Here is a 13,747-nt window from a genome sequence, read left to right as displayed (position 1 = left end):
AACATATACATTGAAATGTGAAAGGATTCCTCTTACAGGCATATTTAACACGTCTTTAAAATGTAAAACAAAATCAGTTGTCAAAAAAGATAATTTAACAATAGTAAAATATGAAACATGATAGGTAGCTTTCTACAATGGAAATGTGAAACATTGAAATAATTGGCTGTTTTCCTTATAACTTTCTACTTCCCCGATTTTTCAATGTGAGGCAAGATCATGACAGAAACATGTACAGGGTACTGCTGCCACCTAAGAGAGATGGAGTGCTTGACTCCTGTCTATCCTCTGCTTCTTTCTTCAGGCAGATAAAGGTATACACTCAATTTTTCATTCTCTAGGACTTCATCTACCTTGTGGTTTGTTTCAAAGACATCATAATAGGTGGTAATAGAAAACTTCACACTGTAAAAATGCCAAAGGTACATGGATATGATATGGTATATTCTCTCTCTTACCATTCAGTGAGATAAAAAGGGTCTGGAAGCTTGATTCATCCACCACCCTCTTTTCACCCATGCCCAGCACAACACTTAAGAAAAGGCCACCCAGGCCGGCTCCACTCTGGGCATTAAAAGCCTATCTCAAGTCTTTCAGGTTCTTCTTACTGAAGGAAATACACAGGTCTACAGTAGAGTGATGAGATCATAGACTTAAGTCTTGGACTTAAGAGACACAAGGTGTTTCTGCCTTTTTTGGTTCTGAGTCAATATGGTTTATCTGCTTACAAAAAATAAAAAGTCAAAAAATAAAAAATAAAAACAAAACAAAAAAGGTCTCCCATGTGGTCCAGTCTAGCTCACCAGAATTCTCTACTTGGGGTTTGAGGCCAAGCCCCAACTTGAATCATGCCTGTCCTCCCTACCATTAGTTCAGATATAATTTGTACATTTGAGGATAAAAGCAAAAAGTAATTATCAAGTATAAATATGGACATTCATTAATTTGTGAGTAATACTATTTAAAGTGCCTTTCTTTTGGGGGAAGGTGGGGAGCTATCTCAAGTTTGCAAGGCAGTTCAGGATGAATGCCTCAAGAATGCTGGGACAGTATGCAAATCACCATCGGTCAGCAGGATTCAAGCTGATCTACTAGAGAAGTAGCCACTATACTGTATGCTGTGTTTTTCACTATAAGGTCATAACAGACTTTTTAATCTAATAAGCCAAATTTCCTACTATTAAATGTATTTCTTTTGAGAAAATACATTTTTATCTATTGATTTTATTGCCTATCAGTTACTCTAAACCTAATCATCATATCAATTGAGATAGAAACAAAATGTTCCCACATCCTACTTTATAATCTCCATTAACTGGTTTTAAGGTATCAAGATCTCCAGGGAAGAGGTAGCTTCTACTTTAGACTTTACCTGCAAGCTCTGTAACAGCTAGTGTCAGTGGGAATAGTGGGCACTGTGACACTGGTAACAGCACTGGACAAATCCTGATTGTGCTATGGATATAAGAAAAGCCCAGAGTGAGCGTCAATTCAGCTAACTAGGCATGATGGAGCTTGCCAATGAACAGTAAAGTGAAAAGAAGTCCTGGCTACGTAAGGATGTTTCATCTTGACTTGATGAAGAGAAAAAAAAACTGCAAAAATATGACAAACTCAAAAGCTAAGGCATTAAAAAGAAATATTAAAGGTCACTATCCAGAAAGTTCCGGTTCTAGGAACAAGATTTACTCAAATGCAGAAGGAAAATGACAGTGAGAGTGGGTACAAAGTAATTAGAATTTGATATGCAAACCAAATTTGCTTCTCAGGTTTTGGGAATGGTATATCTGACACTCAGGGACAAATATTATCAGCTTAACTAATCAGTTCTAATACACGGTAAAAAGAAAACAAAAGGCAACTATAGAAAACAAAAAGAACAAAGGGGGATCATGCCAACAGCTTTATTCTACCTAGACATCGTCAAGAGAGCCAACTAACTTAAGAACCAGGTTTAAACTGAAAAACAGCAGGACTTGGAAGAGGCAAAATACTGAAGAGAAATTGGGGAGTCAAGCCAAGCCCTACAGTAGCATATGCGGTAGCAAAAATAATTTTTTTCTCCTACTAGTAACTCTCAAAAGTCACTCAAGCCCTGAGGAATTCATGTGAACCAATTTATAAACATAAAAATGCCACTGGTTTTCAAGAGCTAAAAGATGGTTTTGAGATGGGCACATGTCAGTAGACTTTTGAGTCTTGTTTGGTCCTCAACGGCAAAGGCTTTAGTAACATCATCAATAAAACTGCAGTTCAGAAAACTGTCAAAGCACATTTTTCATCTTAGATAAATGAGAGAATGAGAGGCAATGTGTCCTGGAAGAAAAGCCTCACAGGCCAATGGACCTGAAGATAGGAAATGGTAGCCAGAAAGGAAATGTCTGTCTTTGTTGTCATGCTGGGGATGCAGAAATACAGAGGGAACACATTTTTCCTACAGAAATATCTATTCTAAAAGTAGGGAGAATGTTTTTCTAAGAAAATGCTCAGAAGAGTATACTGTGTTCCTCAATCCCATGTTCAATTATTTTTCTTTGGTATGTCAAGAATGTAGGGGTTAAGTAGAAAGTAAAATTTGAGTTTTTTAAATATCCAGAATAAGGAGCACTAAAGGAACACATAGCATCCTGGGAAAGATCTGAATTCTGCAGGTACCACCATGAGAATAGTGTATTTTATTCTGGAATACAGAAAAAATGTTTCTGAAGGGTATTCCGTTTTATTTCCTTTTAACATCAGAAATGTGGCATCACAACTAATACATTGAAAGGGGATTTATCCCAACTTAGTCAAAACCTCACAGTTTTTGAACTCTAGACAACTAGCATATACAAATATCATCCCAATGAGGCAAAAGCCAAGAAGCTTTGTTCCTCTTCTCTCTGTAGTGTTCTTCAAATTACCTCTAACTTGCACTAAAGTTCACAGTGGGTGGCAAAGTGTGGATCCAGACTCTTCTAAGCCCTGGATATTGGAATACTACTTTGGTTAGTAAATGATATTATTTTAGATATTTAATCTCTAAATTAGAAACTCTTGCAGATATATTTTCATTTCTGCTGAAGACTCTGAAGCCCCTTACAAATATGGAATGTAGAAGAGACAGAATAAGCATTATCCAACTTTGAAAGTGCAGGAGGGTCTACTATGGTTCTAGTGAATCCAAGTCAGAAAGAAATGCCACAAAAGGGGAACATAAGGAGTACTTCATAGAGACTTTGAGAAGAAATAAACCTAGGATAGTTCAGCTTAGCTAGAGGAAGATAAAAAGGGAATTCTAGGCATAAGGGCATCAAAAGCAAAAATATGTCAGGGTGAGAAAGAGTATGGGAGATAACAATGAACAGAAGAACAGTGCTGCTGGATGCTAAAATGTCCAGAGACATGGCTAGAAAGAAAGGGAAGGGCCAGTTCAAGGAGAGCCATACACGCATTATTAAAACACTCACAGTGGATCCTGTTGGTGCCAGAGATTTCATAAAGGGGTTTACACTGAGGAGTAACATAGTCAGATTTGGGTTCAAGTTTCAATCACATACCCAACTTTGTGGATGAAGGATTTAAGGGCTATGAAGCTACAGGAAAGAAAAGCAAAAAGGTGGTATCGTAAAGTGCAAGTTAAGTAGGATCTGAATAGAGGAAAGAGTTGCAAACACAGAGAGGAAGATCCTATGTGTCCAATATTTAAGAAGCGAAAGAAGCATGACTTGGTAATTAGTTGATGGTAGAAGGCAACATCAAGCACTGTCAACACTGGAAGAGGATACCTCAAAGGATATGATGATGAGTTCTGTTTGGGGTCTTGAGTTTGAGGTACTGTGAGACACCTAGGTACAGATATTCAGCAAATTGTTGGATATCTGGCCTGAAACTCAAAAACACATCTAGAGACACAAATTTGGGATCCATCAGTACTTAAGTTACAATTAAAATAGGAGTAAATAAGATCATGCAGGGAGAGAATGCAGTTAGAACAGTGGTAGCGTAGGAAGGAACCAAGAAGAACACTAACATATAATGGGTAGGTTTAAGAAAAAGAAAAAAAAATAAATACAGAAAGGAGAAAGAAAGGAGTGGTCAGAGGAATTTGAGGAAAATTAAGAGAGTGCTATGTCTTGGAAGTTAAGAGAGGGAATTTCAGAGAATAAATTAATTATCAGGATCAAATGCAAAACATAGGCCCAAGAGATGTTCACTAATAATGGCCATTAGATTTGACAATCTAGAAGTTACTGATGATCTAAGCAACATCTCATTGCATGCCATGCAAGGCAAACTGCTGTAAGGTGGGGGAGGCAGTCTGTTAAGTAAAGAAGTGGAGATAAGACATCACTACTCCTTCAAAAGGTTTAGATGAAAAGCAAAAAGAAACTGGCCATACTTTCGAAGAAATGCTGTGTCCAGGGAGAGTCAGGAGTGGGTTATTTCCAGTTCCACCACCATTAGAAAGTAAAGTTCTACCACTAATTCCGAAAGAAAAGTCTGGTTCCAGAAAGAATGTAAACGTTGCATGGTATCTACCAAAAGTTGAGAATTCCATGTGCTTGATAAGAGCAAAATTAAACTGTGTCATGTATCAATCTCTAATAAGAAAAAAGTAATAATAATACTCAAAGGGATGAGGTCCTAGTTCTGACACTTAATAGCTGTATGATCTTGAACACACGACTTAGTCCTTTGCTTTTCTCATTTTATAAGGATGTTATATGAGTACTTATATGTTTTATGAGAAATAAGACATGGCATGCACAATGCTTAGCACAGTGTTGGCTTAGTCAAATTTGTCTTTACTGAGGTTAACAGACAAAAATTATATAGTGTTTAAAGAACTTCACTTTTAAGCATGTTTAGTTGTGCATTTGTGACAAGTCCTAGTGGGATCCTGATTTACAGGTTCATAATTAGCTTCCCTAAATAGGTCACTATTAATCTACAAAGGGGGAAAATAAACACTGTAGGTAAACATAACACACTATATATATGTATATCCTTACACAGGTAAAAGAAAAACCAAGTAGTACTCAACTGTAATTTCAAATTCCAAAGAATCCTTCCCTTCTCTTGAGGTATACCTCTCATTAATTTCTACAGCAAAGTATACACCGCAGAGACTTGTTCATCTTTGTGTCAAAATGAATTAAACATAACTCTGAATAGTAATAAGTGCTGTAATGTTGTCTTCCTTTTAAATTTACATGTGCAGTAGTCTTTAATGATACAGTATATAACTCTTCCAGCCAATCCAAACAGGAAAAAAGATTCAATTATTCCCCAGATCTATAGGCAGGTACATGTTTCCCTTATATATCAGAATTTCATTACTGCTGGAACAGATTTAAAAGTCAGCATACAATAAAAGAGCTCATGATCAATCCAACGATCTGAGAGACATAAAAATACATTAAACTTCATATTCATAATATACAGCCTCATTACCAAGAAGAATGCTGTCACCTTTTAGACAAAACAAAAAAAAACTTCCTTTCAATAAAACAGGGAATAAAAAAAGTAAAGCTCTATATCAAAATAACGAAAATACAGATCTATTTATTAAGATGTCAGTAAATGACTGGAATTGACACAATAATATAAGAAAACATCAAGTATGCATCTTGGTAGTTTATAGTAAATGTACCTGCTGGCCAAATTTACATTTGGAAATTGCACATATGGTTAATTTAGTGGCATAGTTCCTAGCAAGAGTCCTTAAGACTCTTTTACAAATAAGTCTATTCAGCAAAAACATTATTTCTTGGAAGAATTAACTGCAAATGAGTATACAGTTAAACACTCATTGCACATCCCCATTGTCTTTTTTTCTCTCCTCTACACTTCAAGTACAATAGTCACTAAATTTCCAAAAGCACCAGGAAGCACAGAACTGAGATTTATGTCTTTGAAAATATTTGACAGGTATTAGGCGATTAAAACTAGTATGCTTGGCTTTTATTGTTAAAAAAAAATTAACTCTAATTGTAACATCACAGTAAAGGAGATGAAACCATTTTTTCTCCATTTAGTAAATTCTCACTATATAAAACTAAACAACAAAAAAAAACTGTAACTATATAAAACTCAAGCAAAAAGAAAATAAATCGTTCCCCCACCCCCACTCCCTGGAGTACTGTAAAATAAGTGAAGCTCACAACAGTGGCAGCTAAAACACTGAAAAAATAAAGTGCCATATTAAAGATTAAGCAGCATTCTCATGAAAAGCACACATAAAATCCATTTCACATCACTGTATCACCTAATATACGAAGTTGGTAGTTATTCCAGGTATTGCAAATGGTACTTAATAAAAAGTCAATAAATCAAAAAAATGTTCAGTCACCCAGAGTAAGGAAAAATGTATTATGTCATCTGATAAATTAGAGGTAAAGTAGATTATGTGTTGAAATGAAGTGTACAGCAGCAGAGCAGAGATGACTTCTTTGTTATCCTCCCCAAAATAATTTTGCTGGCATTGGAATAGTCAACACAAAGGAATGAAGGAGTTACGTCCAGGTCTGGACTGAGCACCCTATTTGTACCAATCACTGTCTAGCTACCACTGCTCCTTTTGTGGCAGAATTAGACCCTTACAAAGAAGTGATTCTTTGGTTGAACCAGCAACAACCTAGACTAAACATATAATGGGGAACACAATTTTTAAATAACTTGAATGAATTTAATTCCTGGTAGCAATCAATGAAAACATCAAGTGTTATATAAACACATTATAGGCATCGCATATGAGCACCATAAAACTTGTACATTCCTTTACATTCACTTTTTTCCCCGCTTAAGATGATATTAAGCTAAATGCGGGAAACAACACAATTATCTTTACATGTTAAACTTCTATGAAGACAATATATACCCCATCTCTTTCTTTAGTTGGCAAAAAATAATCATAAGGGAGAAAAATCCATTATGAAAACTAAATCTGGGCACTTCCCTTGGGTTTATTTTTCTACTGGGGTTAATCAAAAAAGCATTTGTTTCACATCTCTTTACTGATGGGGTGTTCTTAAAGAAGCAACTGACCCAGACCCAACTTCATTTCCTAACTGGAGCCTGTTATCCCCTCCCTCCCCATTCCGAGACTGCCAGTTTCCTGTATGGATGCCTACAAGTAGTATATCGCCCAACTGAAGAGCAACAATCGAAGCAGAGGAAACCAACAAGAAATCCATCAGATTTCCAAGTTTATTGACACTCAAGGGCCAGCTAGCCTCCTCGAAACGCTCAGGATCCTGCTGAGGAAAACCCGAGGGTGGGGGAATCGTGAGGATAGGGAAGCAACCAGACTGCCTAGGTGAGCCTAAGGTGAGGTGAGTCAGAAGCAAGAGGGAGGCAGAGAAGTGGTGCCGCGAGGGCGGTCACCTGTGGGACCACTTGATCCAGCCCCGCCTCCAGGGACAGTAGGCAGAATCGCGGCCAGCAGGCCTCGAAAGACGCCGAGAAAACGCAGAGCTGGGCCCCTTCAGCCCGGCCTGGAACTCACCATCCACGGTTTTCTTCTTGAAGAGGGACGCCATGGTTAAAGACTGCGCCCGGGCGGCCCGGCTCGGCCCGGTCCGGCCCAACGCTGGCAAAGGACAGGAGGAAAAGGACAGGACCTTGGCGGGTTCGGGGTGGCGGAGCGGAGAGACAGCAGGAGGAGGTCGGGGTCGCCAGGCAGGACCCGCGGAAGGCTTGTATCCGCAGCTACCGCAGCCGCGTCACCCGGAGCTCAGGTGACCGGGAACTAACACACTTTTTGGAGAAGTCACTTCTAGGCGGCGCCTGCGCGTTGTGTGGCGCCTGCGCACTACGGAGTTTGAAGCCGCGGCCGCTTTCCTCACGTCTGCGGCTGCCAGTTCCTCCTGCACCGGGAGTTGGCAGCGGGGCGAGTCTGGAGCTGGCGGGGATAGGAGAGCGTGGGGCCACGGCTTCTGTGCGCGGGTTGGGTGATGATTGAGGACAGTGATCAGCCTTGCTTAGCGCTTCACCCCTTGCCCCGGGGAAAGCTGGATGAGGGATCTCCGGGCTCCTAGACTAAGTGTGGGTTGTCCCGGAACCGCCTGTACCCACTCCGAGTTGATTTATTACGGTCCCATTGCTGTTAGTATTTTTGTTGTTGTTGTTGTTGTTGTTTGTTTGTTTTTACTCGAGTAATCCAGGAACTGGCGGAAACGTTGAGTTCCGTACCCGGTGATTGTTGGCCCCTGGAGTTCGCGGTCCTTTCGGCACTGACTGACTCGGCGACCTCCCCCGCACCGCGCAGACCCCTGCAGGACCCTAGCCGCTCACCTGCCGCCCCCGGCTCCAGACTCCGACGACCCAGCGTGGGTCTCCGGGGATCCAGTGTCTAGAGTTGGGGGGGTCTCGAGGACGAAGGGAAGTTTTTTAATGCTACACTTTTTGTTTAAGGTTCTTGCCTGGAAACATTAAAACACACACACACACACACACACACACACACACACACAAATTTGTAGGCTGGTCTAAATGTCTCCAGCTCTATTTCTTAATTTCTTGTAAATCATGAATCATAAAGTGTCATGGCTATACGGTGATCCTATTAGAATTCCTCACAGCCGTTTATTTGGGCTTTTTGTGAAAAACTGCATATCATGTTAAAGAAAAAATGTAATGAATTATTTAAAGAATCCTTGCATGTATAAAATGGAAAATACAACCTATGCGTGCGTACCTGTATATAGTCTCTACTGTTTAAAGCAACACTGCCTTCCACAGGATAAAAATAATGGTAGCATTTTTTTTTTCATAAATATTATCTCTGATATGGAAGAAATCCAGAAGTGGCTAATAATATTGACACTATAACAATAATGTCAATATTATTAGCCACTTCTGGATTTATGAATCATGTCTCAAGGATTATTATTTATGATAATCAGGCCAGCCTTTCCCATTTTTCCCCTCCTGAGATATCCAAGCCCTCATAGCCACTGATAATGCTGCTGCTGCTGCTAAAAGTTAGCTGAGAGTCTGTTCAAGAAAACTTTCTTAAGAATGACGTAGTAATATGCAAGATATAATTGTTTTGCTTCTCCTCAAGTTATTCTCGATATGGGAAGATGAAGTAAGGAAACATTAGGAAGACATGTAAGTGAGAAGATTTAGTCTCTGCACTCAAGACCGGGCCTTTTCTGGAGTGAGCTCTATGGCAGTTTGCCCTGGCTGTCTGTTGTAATGAATGGCATAGAGCTGTGCTTGAACGCATGAGAGGCAATAAGCTGTTATGTGTGTAGTAATCGTACTCCTCCCTGCTGCAGTCACCCTTGTTTTATTACTCCTATACAATCCCCCCCACTGACCCAATTGTAACAGTTGGGAAAATGCCAAAATACTTAGGAGCAACCATATGGAAGACCCTCCAAAAGTGCACAGCAGGAGCTAAAGACAGGGCTTGTTCATTACAATAAAGACAAAATAGAAATATTTACTATTTAAACTCAGTACTCTAATAGCTTGTTCTCCCATAGTTTGAAGAAGGCTGATATTCAGCTGATTGCACCAGTCTAGCTAGAGTCCATTCTGATTAGTTGGTGGCCACATTTCTCCTGTACACATTTTGTATTATTATATCGCTCCTTATTTAAAGGGCATGATACACTTAAATATATGTTGTTTTCTGGAGTATTTCATAACATAGTTTCCTCCTCTGAAACTGAAATATTTGCCATTTTTTCATCTTTGGGTACCTCGGGTTATAATTTGAATGGGTGCATTCTTCTCCTTGTTCAGCTTTTGAAGAAAGATAGCATAACATTGGAGAGTGCTGATTCTGGACACAGACTGCCCAGTTCTGTGACCAATTCTGTGACTTTTAAGTTTTAAGACCTAGGCCAGTTCACTGAAGCTCTCCGTGTTTCTTTCATCACATATGTGATAGAGATAACATTAGCCCACCTTTCATATATTAGGTTGGTACAAAAGTAATTGGCGAAAACCACAGTTACTTTTGCACCAACCTAATAGCTGTTGCAAGGATTAAATGAGTTAATATGTTAAACATTCAAAGTAGTGCTTGGCACGTAATGTCTTAGCCCCTCTGTGCAGCTACAACAAAATACCACAGACTGGGTAATTTATAAACAGTAGAAATTTATTTCTCACATTTGTGGAGGCTGGGGAGTCCAAGATCAAGGAACCCAGAGGTTTTGTTTCTGGTGAGAGCTGCTTTCTGCTTCCATGATGGTACCTTGCTGTTGCATCCTCAAGAAGAAAGAGATGCTGTATCCTCACATGGCAAGAAGGACAGAAGGGTAAAAGGGCGGTAGGCAGCTCCCTCACACCTGTTTTATAAAGGAACTAATCTCATTCATGAGGGCTCCACCCTCATGACTTAATCACATCCTAAAGTTCCCACCTCTAAAAACTATCACATTAGTGATTAAGTTTCAACATATGAATTTTTGGGGGGTACATTCACACCATATCACATAATAATCATTTTTGTATTATCTGTATTGTTGTTTCCAGCTGTTTTACCTTTTTATGCTTTCTCAAGTAATCTTCATGCTGAAATTCTCTTCTCTGTAGTACAGAAAACACAAATTGAAGATTTAGGCTTTCTGATGCTGATCTTGGTTACCTTCACCTTAACAGCCACCACCTCCCCAAATTAGCCCATTTCTTTCTCCTTAATAAAAAAATGGTTTTATTCTCAGCAAACTAACACAGGAACAGAAAACCAAACACTGCATATTCTCACTCATAAGTGGGGGTTGAGCAGTGAGAACACATGGACACAGGGAGGGGAACATCACATGCCAGGGCCTGTCAGGGGGTGGGGGGAAAGGGGAGGGAGAGCATTAGGACAAATACCTAATGCATGTGGGGCTTAAAACCTAGATGATGGGTTGATGGGTGCAGCAAACCACCATGGCACATGAAGACCTATGTAACCAACGTGCACGTTCTGTACATGTATCCCAGAACTTAAAGTAAAATAAACAAATAAATAATAAGATAATGGTTTTCTTGTTCTTAAATCTGTTATTTGTGTAGGAATTGACTTGTTATAGAAATATGTATCTAACATTGGTACTGGAAGGATTCGGTGCAGATTTGTTTCTGTTTGTCTTTTCTCCTCAGCTTCAATTTTAAACTCCTTGGGTTCAGAGAGAATCTCTTGTCAGGCCCTTCAATAATTTTCCTACTAGAATGTAAATATATTTAATAGAAACTTAATATGCAATCGTATTTTCATATTATCCATGTTTCAATGTTTTAACGCCAAATGACAAGTATATATATATACATTTGGTACATTTTTGTTGATTTGACACATTTAACTTCAAGTCTCTTTATATATGAAAAGCAGCTAACATTATCTATCTCCATGAACAACAGTAGAGATCTAGAGAACCTAAAAGTCAATAAATAATTCTGTATGTATGTAAGGATTTAGCGAAAACATCAACTCATTTGTTTCATGTTTCACATGGATTCAAATTTGAGCATACTTTAAGCTGTTTTGCTATTTCACTAACTACACTGTATTCTGCTTTATATTTAATAATGCTACAGTGACTATCATGATGCTACATGATTATCATAAACAAAATTAAGAATAAAACATTAACCTATATAACATTGAAAAATTTTTTAGAGATATGTAGAAGCTTAGCACAGAGAGAATCATCATTTTTCAAGTCTAAAATATCTCATTTCTTATAAGTGACTTCATCTATTCAGGCTGTTATAGCAAAATACCTTAGAGTGGGTAATTTATAAACAGATTTATTGTTCACAGTTCTGGAGGTTGGGAAGTCCAAAATAAAGGTTCTAGCTGGTCCCACATCTGGTGAGGGACTGTTTTTCATAGATATCACCTTCTGTGTGTCCTCACATGGCTAGAGGAATGAATAAGTGTATTAGTTCATTTTCATGCTGCGAATAAAGACATAACTGAGACTGGGTAATTTATAAAGAAGAGAGAACTCACAGTTCCACATGGCTGGGGAGGCCTCACGATCATGACCAAAAGCAAGGAGGAGCAAAGTCACATCTTACATGGTGGCATGCAAGAGCACGTGTGCAGGGGAAATTCCCTTTATAAAACCATCAGATCTTGTGAGACTTATTCACTATCATGAGAACAGCAGGGGAAAGACCTGCCCCCATTATTCAATTACCTCCCACCAGCTCCCTCTCACAACGTGGGAATTATGGGAACTATAATTCAAGATAAGATTTGGGTGGGGACACAGCCAAACCGTATCAATAAGCTTCCTCATACCTCTTTTGTAAGGGCAGTAATTCTATTGATAAGAGTGGAGCCTTCATTATCTAAACACCTCCAAAAGCTCCACCTCTTAGTACTAGCACAATATGAATTATGTTTCAACATTTAAATTTTGGGGGGACACAAACATTCAGCCCATAATAAGAGGTAAGCAATCAATACAGAAATAAAATGGTTTCCCCAAATTTTATAGTTAGTAAGGTGTTCAGCCAGAATATGTGAAGACAGACTCTTTGAGTGTTCAGACCCTATAACCAGCAATGTAAGCTGTTTGTCAGTTTTCTTGAGATGGTATCCAGGTAGGTTGTATTTGCTCAGGGGCAGGACAGTGAAAAGAGTGTTGACCTGTCTAAGATTGTTACTTTCCACACTTACTCACGGAGGAAGGTCTGGTTTCAGGAGAGGGTTAACTAGAAGGAAATTCTGCTATATCTTCCCTTTCTGTCTTCATTCCCTTCTCTCAACTTATCCAAATTCAGAGCAAGTAGGCAGCACTTATTCTAGCTGACTAAATGACAACAATCAACAAATTAAACACATGTATAATTTTTGTATATTTCTTACCAAATAACGCATGGAACATTATTTTCATGTTTCAGTATGTAAGCCTTAAATTTGGAATTTTTTCATAATTTTTACATTTATACTTTAATAGCTCCAGGAACTCAGCACATTTCCCTCTTTGTCAAATCTTGCTTTTAAAACTATGTGCCATAAAGAATGGGTGAGACTATTCAGAGACTTAGTCAATGGAAAGCTAAATGAGTACCCGAAATGTGTATGGCTGCACATCATTGGTTTTAAAGTCTAAAAGACTTCATGTGTTATTTGGAATATGTAACAACATGATCCTTCTTGAAAAATAAACTAAACTTTGCCCTGAATTCCTCACAGTGTTAATAGGAGTTTCACATGAGTAAATCAAAGCAGAATTTGTGCCCCCTGGCACAACACAGCATATGTATATATTTGCTCTTCAATTCAATAAGGACTGTGGAGTGCAGAGCTACTCCCATACAAAATAGAAATAAACGTAAGTATGGGAGTAATGGATTTGGTTCTTCAATAAAATAAAATAAAACTGTAATAGCTATCCCACTTTATGTTTTAAATGAATAGGAATTAAGAGAGGTGCTGGCTGGATGTTTATTACTAAGTATGAATAATTTACTAAAACAATGGCATTACGTTTTCCATACAAATAAGGTGGCCTTTTTATAATCACCATTTCAAGCTACATTTATATGGTCTTCTATGCATTTTTTAATTTAGTCATCTAACAAATCCTTATAGAGCAACTACTATATGAAATGTGTAGTGCTAGAGAGATTCCTCACTCTGAGGAATCTATGAATGATCTATACATGAATCTGTTCCAAAGAAGTTAAAAGTCCAAAGAAATTAAAAAGTCTACAACAAGAATTAAATTACAAGATGCCATAGATAGCTATACAACTTGGAGTCACTAACAAAATTACATAAATGATTGAATTTCTGAGTAGA

The 13,747-nt window shown here is 38.4% G+C and overlaps 1 protein-coding gene and 1 non-coding gene across 4 annotated transcripts in view, besides 5 other annotated features; one reads left to right on the top strand and one right to left on the bottom strand.

Annotated features, from left to right (window-relative positions):
- Nucleotides 1-7,737, bottom strand: part of CHMP2B (charged multivesicular body protein 2B) — a 28,248-nt gene extending 20,511 nt beyond the window's left edge. For all 3 annotated transcript variants that reach the window (NM_001410777.1, NM_014043.4, NM_001244644.2), the window contains exon 1: nt 7,490-7,737. In NM_001410777.1, the coding sequence (NP_001397706.1) occupies nt 7,490-7,492 (3 nt within the window). In that variant the 5' untranslated portion in view covers nt 7,493-7,737. The remainder of the gene's footprint in view (nt 1-7,489) is intronic.
- Nucleotides 7,526-7,645: an enhancer, noted in NCBI's record as "active region_20114". NCBI's record gives its function as "activates an Ori minimal core promoter by ATAC-STARR-seq in GM12878 lymphoblastoid cells {active_cell/tissue: GM12878}" and the evidence as "EXISTENCE:reporter gene assay evidence [ECO:0000049][PMID:35858748]".
- Nucleotides 7,716-7,785: an enhancer, noted in NCBI's record as "active region_20113". NCBI's record gives its function as "activates an Ori minimal core promoter by ATAC-STARR-seq in GM12878 lymphoblastoid cells {active_cell/tissue: GM12878}" and the evidence as "EXISTENCE:reporter gene assay evidence [ECO:0000049][PMID:35858748]".
- Nucleotides 7,836-7,885: an enhancer, noted in NCBI's record as "active region_20112". NCBI's record gives its function as "activates an Ori minimal core promoter by ATAC-STARR-seq in GM12878 lymphoblastoid cells {active_cell/tissue: GM12878}" and the evidence as "EXISTENCE:reporter gene assay evidence [ECO:0000049][PMID:35858748]".
- Nucleotides 7,976-8,035: an enhancer, noted in NCBI's record as "active region_20111". NCBI's record gives its function as "activates an Ori minimal core promoter by ATAC-STARR-seq in GM12878 lymphoblastoid cells {active_cell/tissue: GM12878}" and the evidence as "EXISTENCE:reporter gene assay evidence [ECO:0000049][PMID:35858748]".
- Nucleotides 8,146-8,285: an enhancer, noted in NCBI's record as "active region_20110". NCBI's record gives its function as "activates an Ori minimal core promoter by ATAC-STARR-seq in GM12878 lymphoblastoid cells {active_cell/tissue: GM12878}" and the evidence as "EXISTENCE:reporter gene assay evidence [ECO:0000049][PMID:35858748]".
- Nucleotides 8,769-8,857, top strand: MIR4795 (microRNA 4795). The gene has a single exon (NR_039958.1). It is a non-coding gene; the product is annotated as a microRNA 4795 (primary transcript).

Source organism: Homo sapiens, chromosome 3 (assembly GCF_000001405.40).
Source record: "Homo sapiens chromosome 3, GRCh38.p14 Primary Assembly".
Classification (NCBI taxonomy): Eukaryota; Metazoa; Chordata; class Mammalia; order Primates; family Hominidae; genus Homo; species Homo sapiens.
Note: the sequence above shows the minus strand (reverse complement) of the source record. Positions and strands in the feature narration are given on the sequence as shown.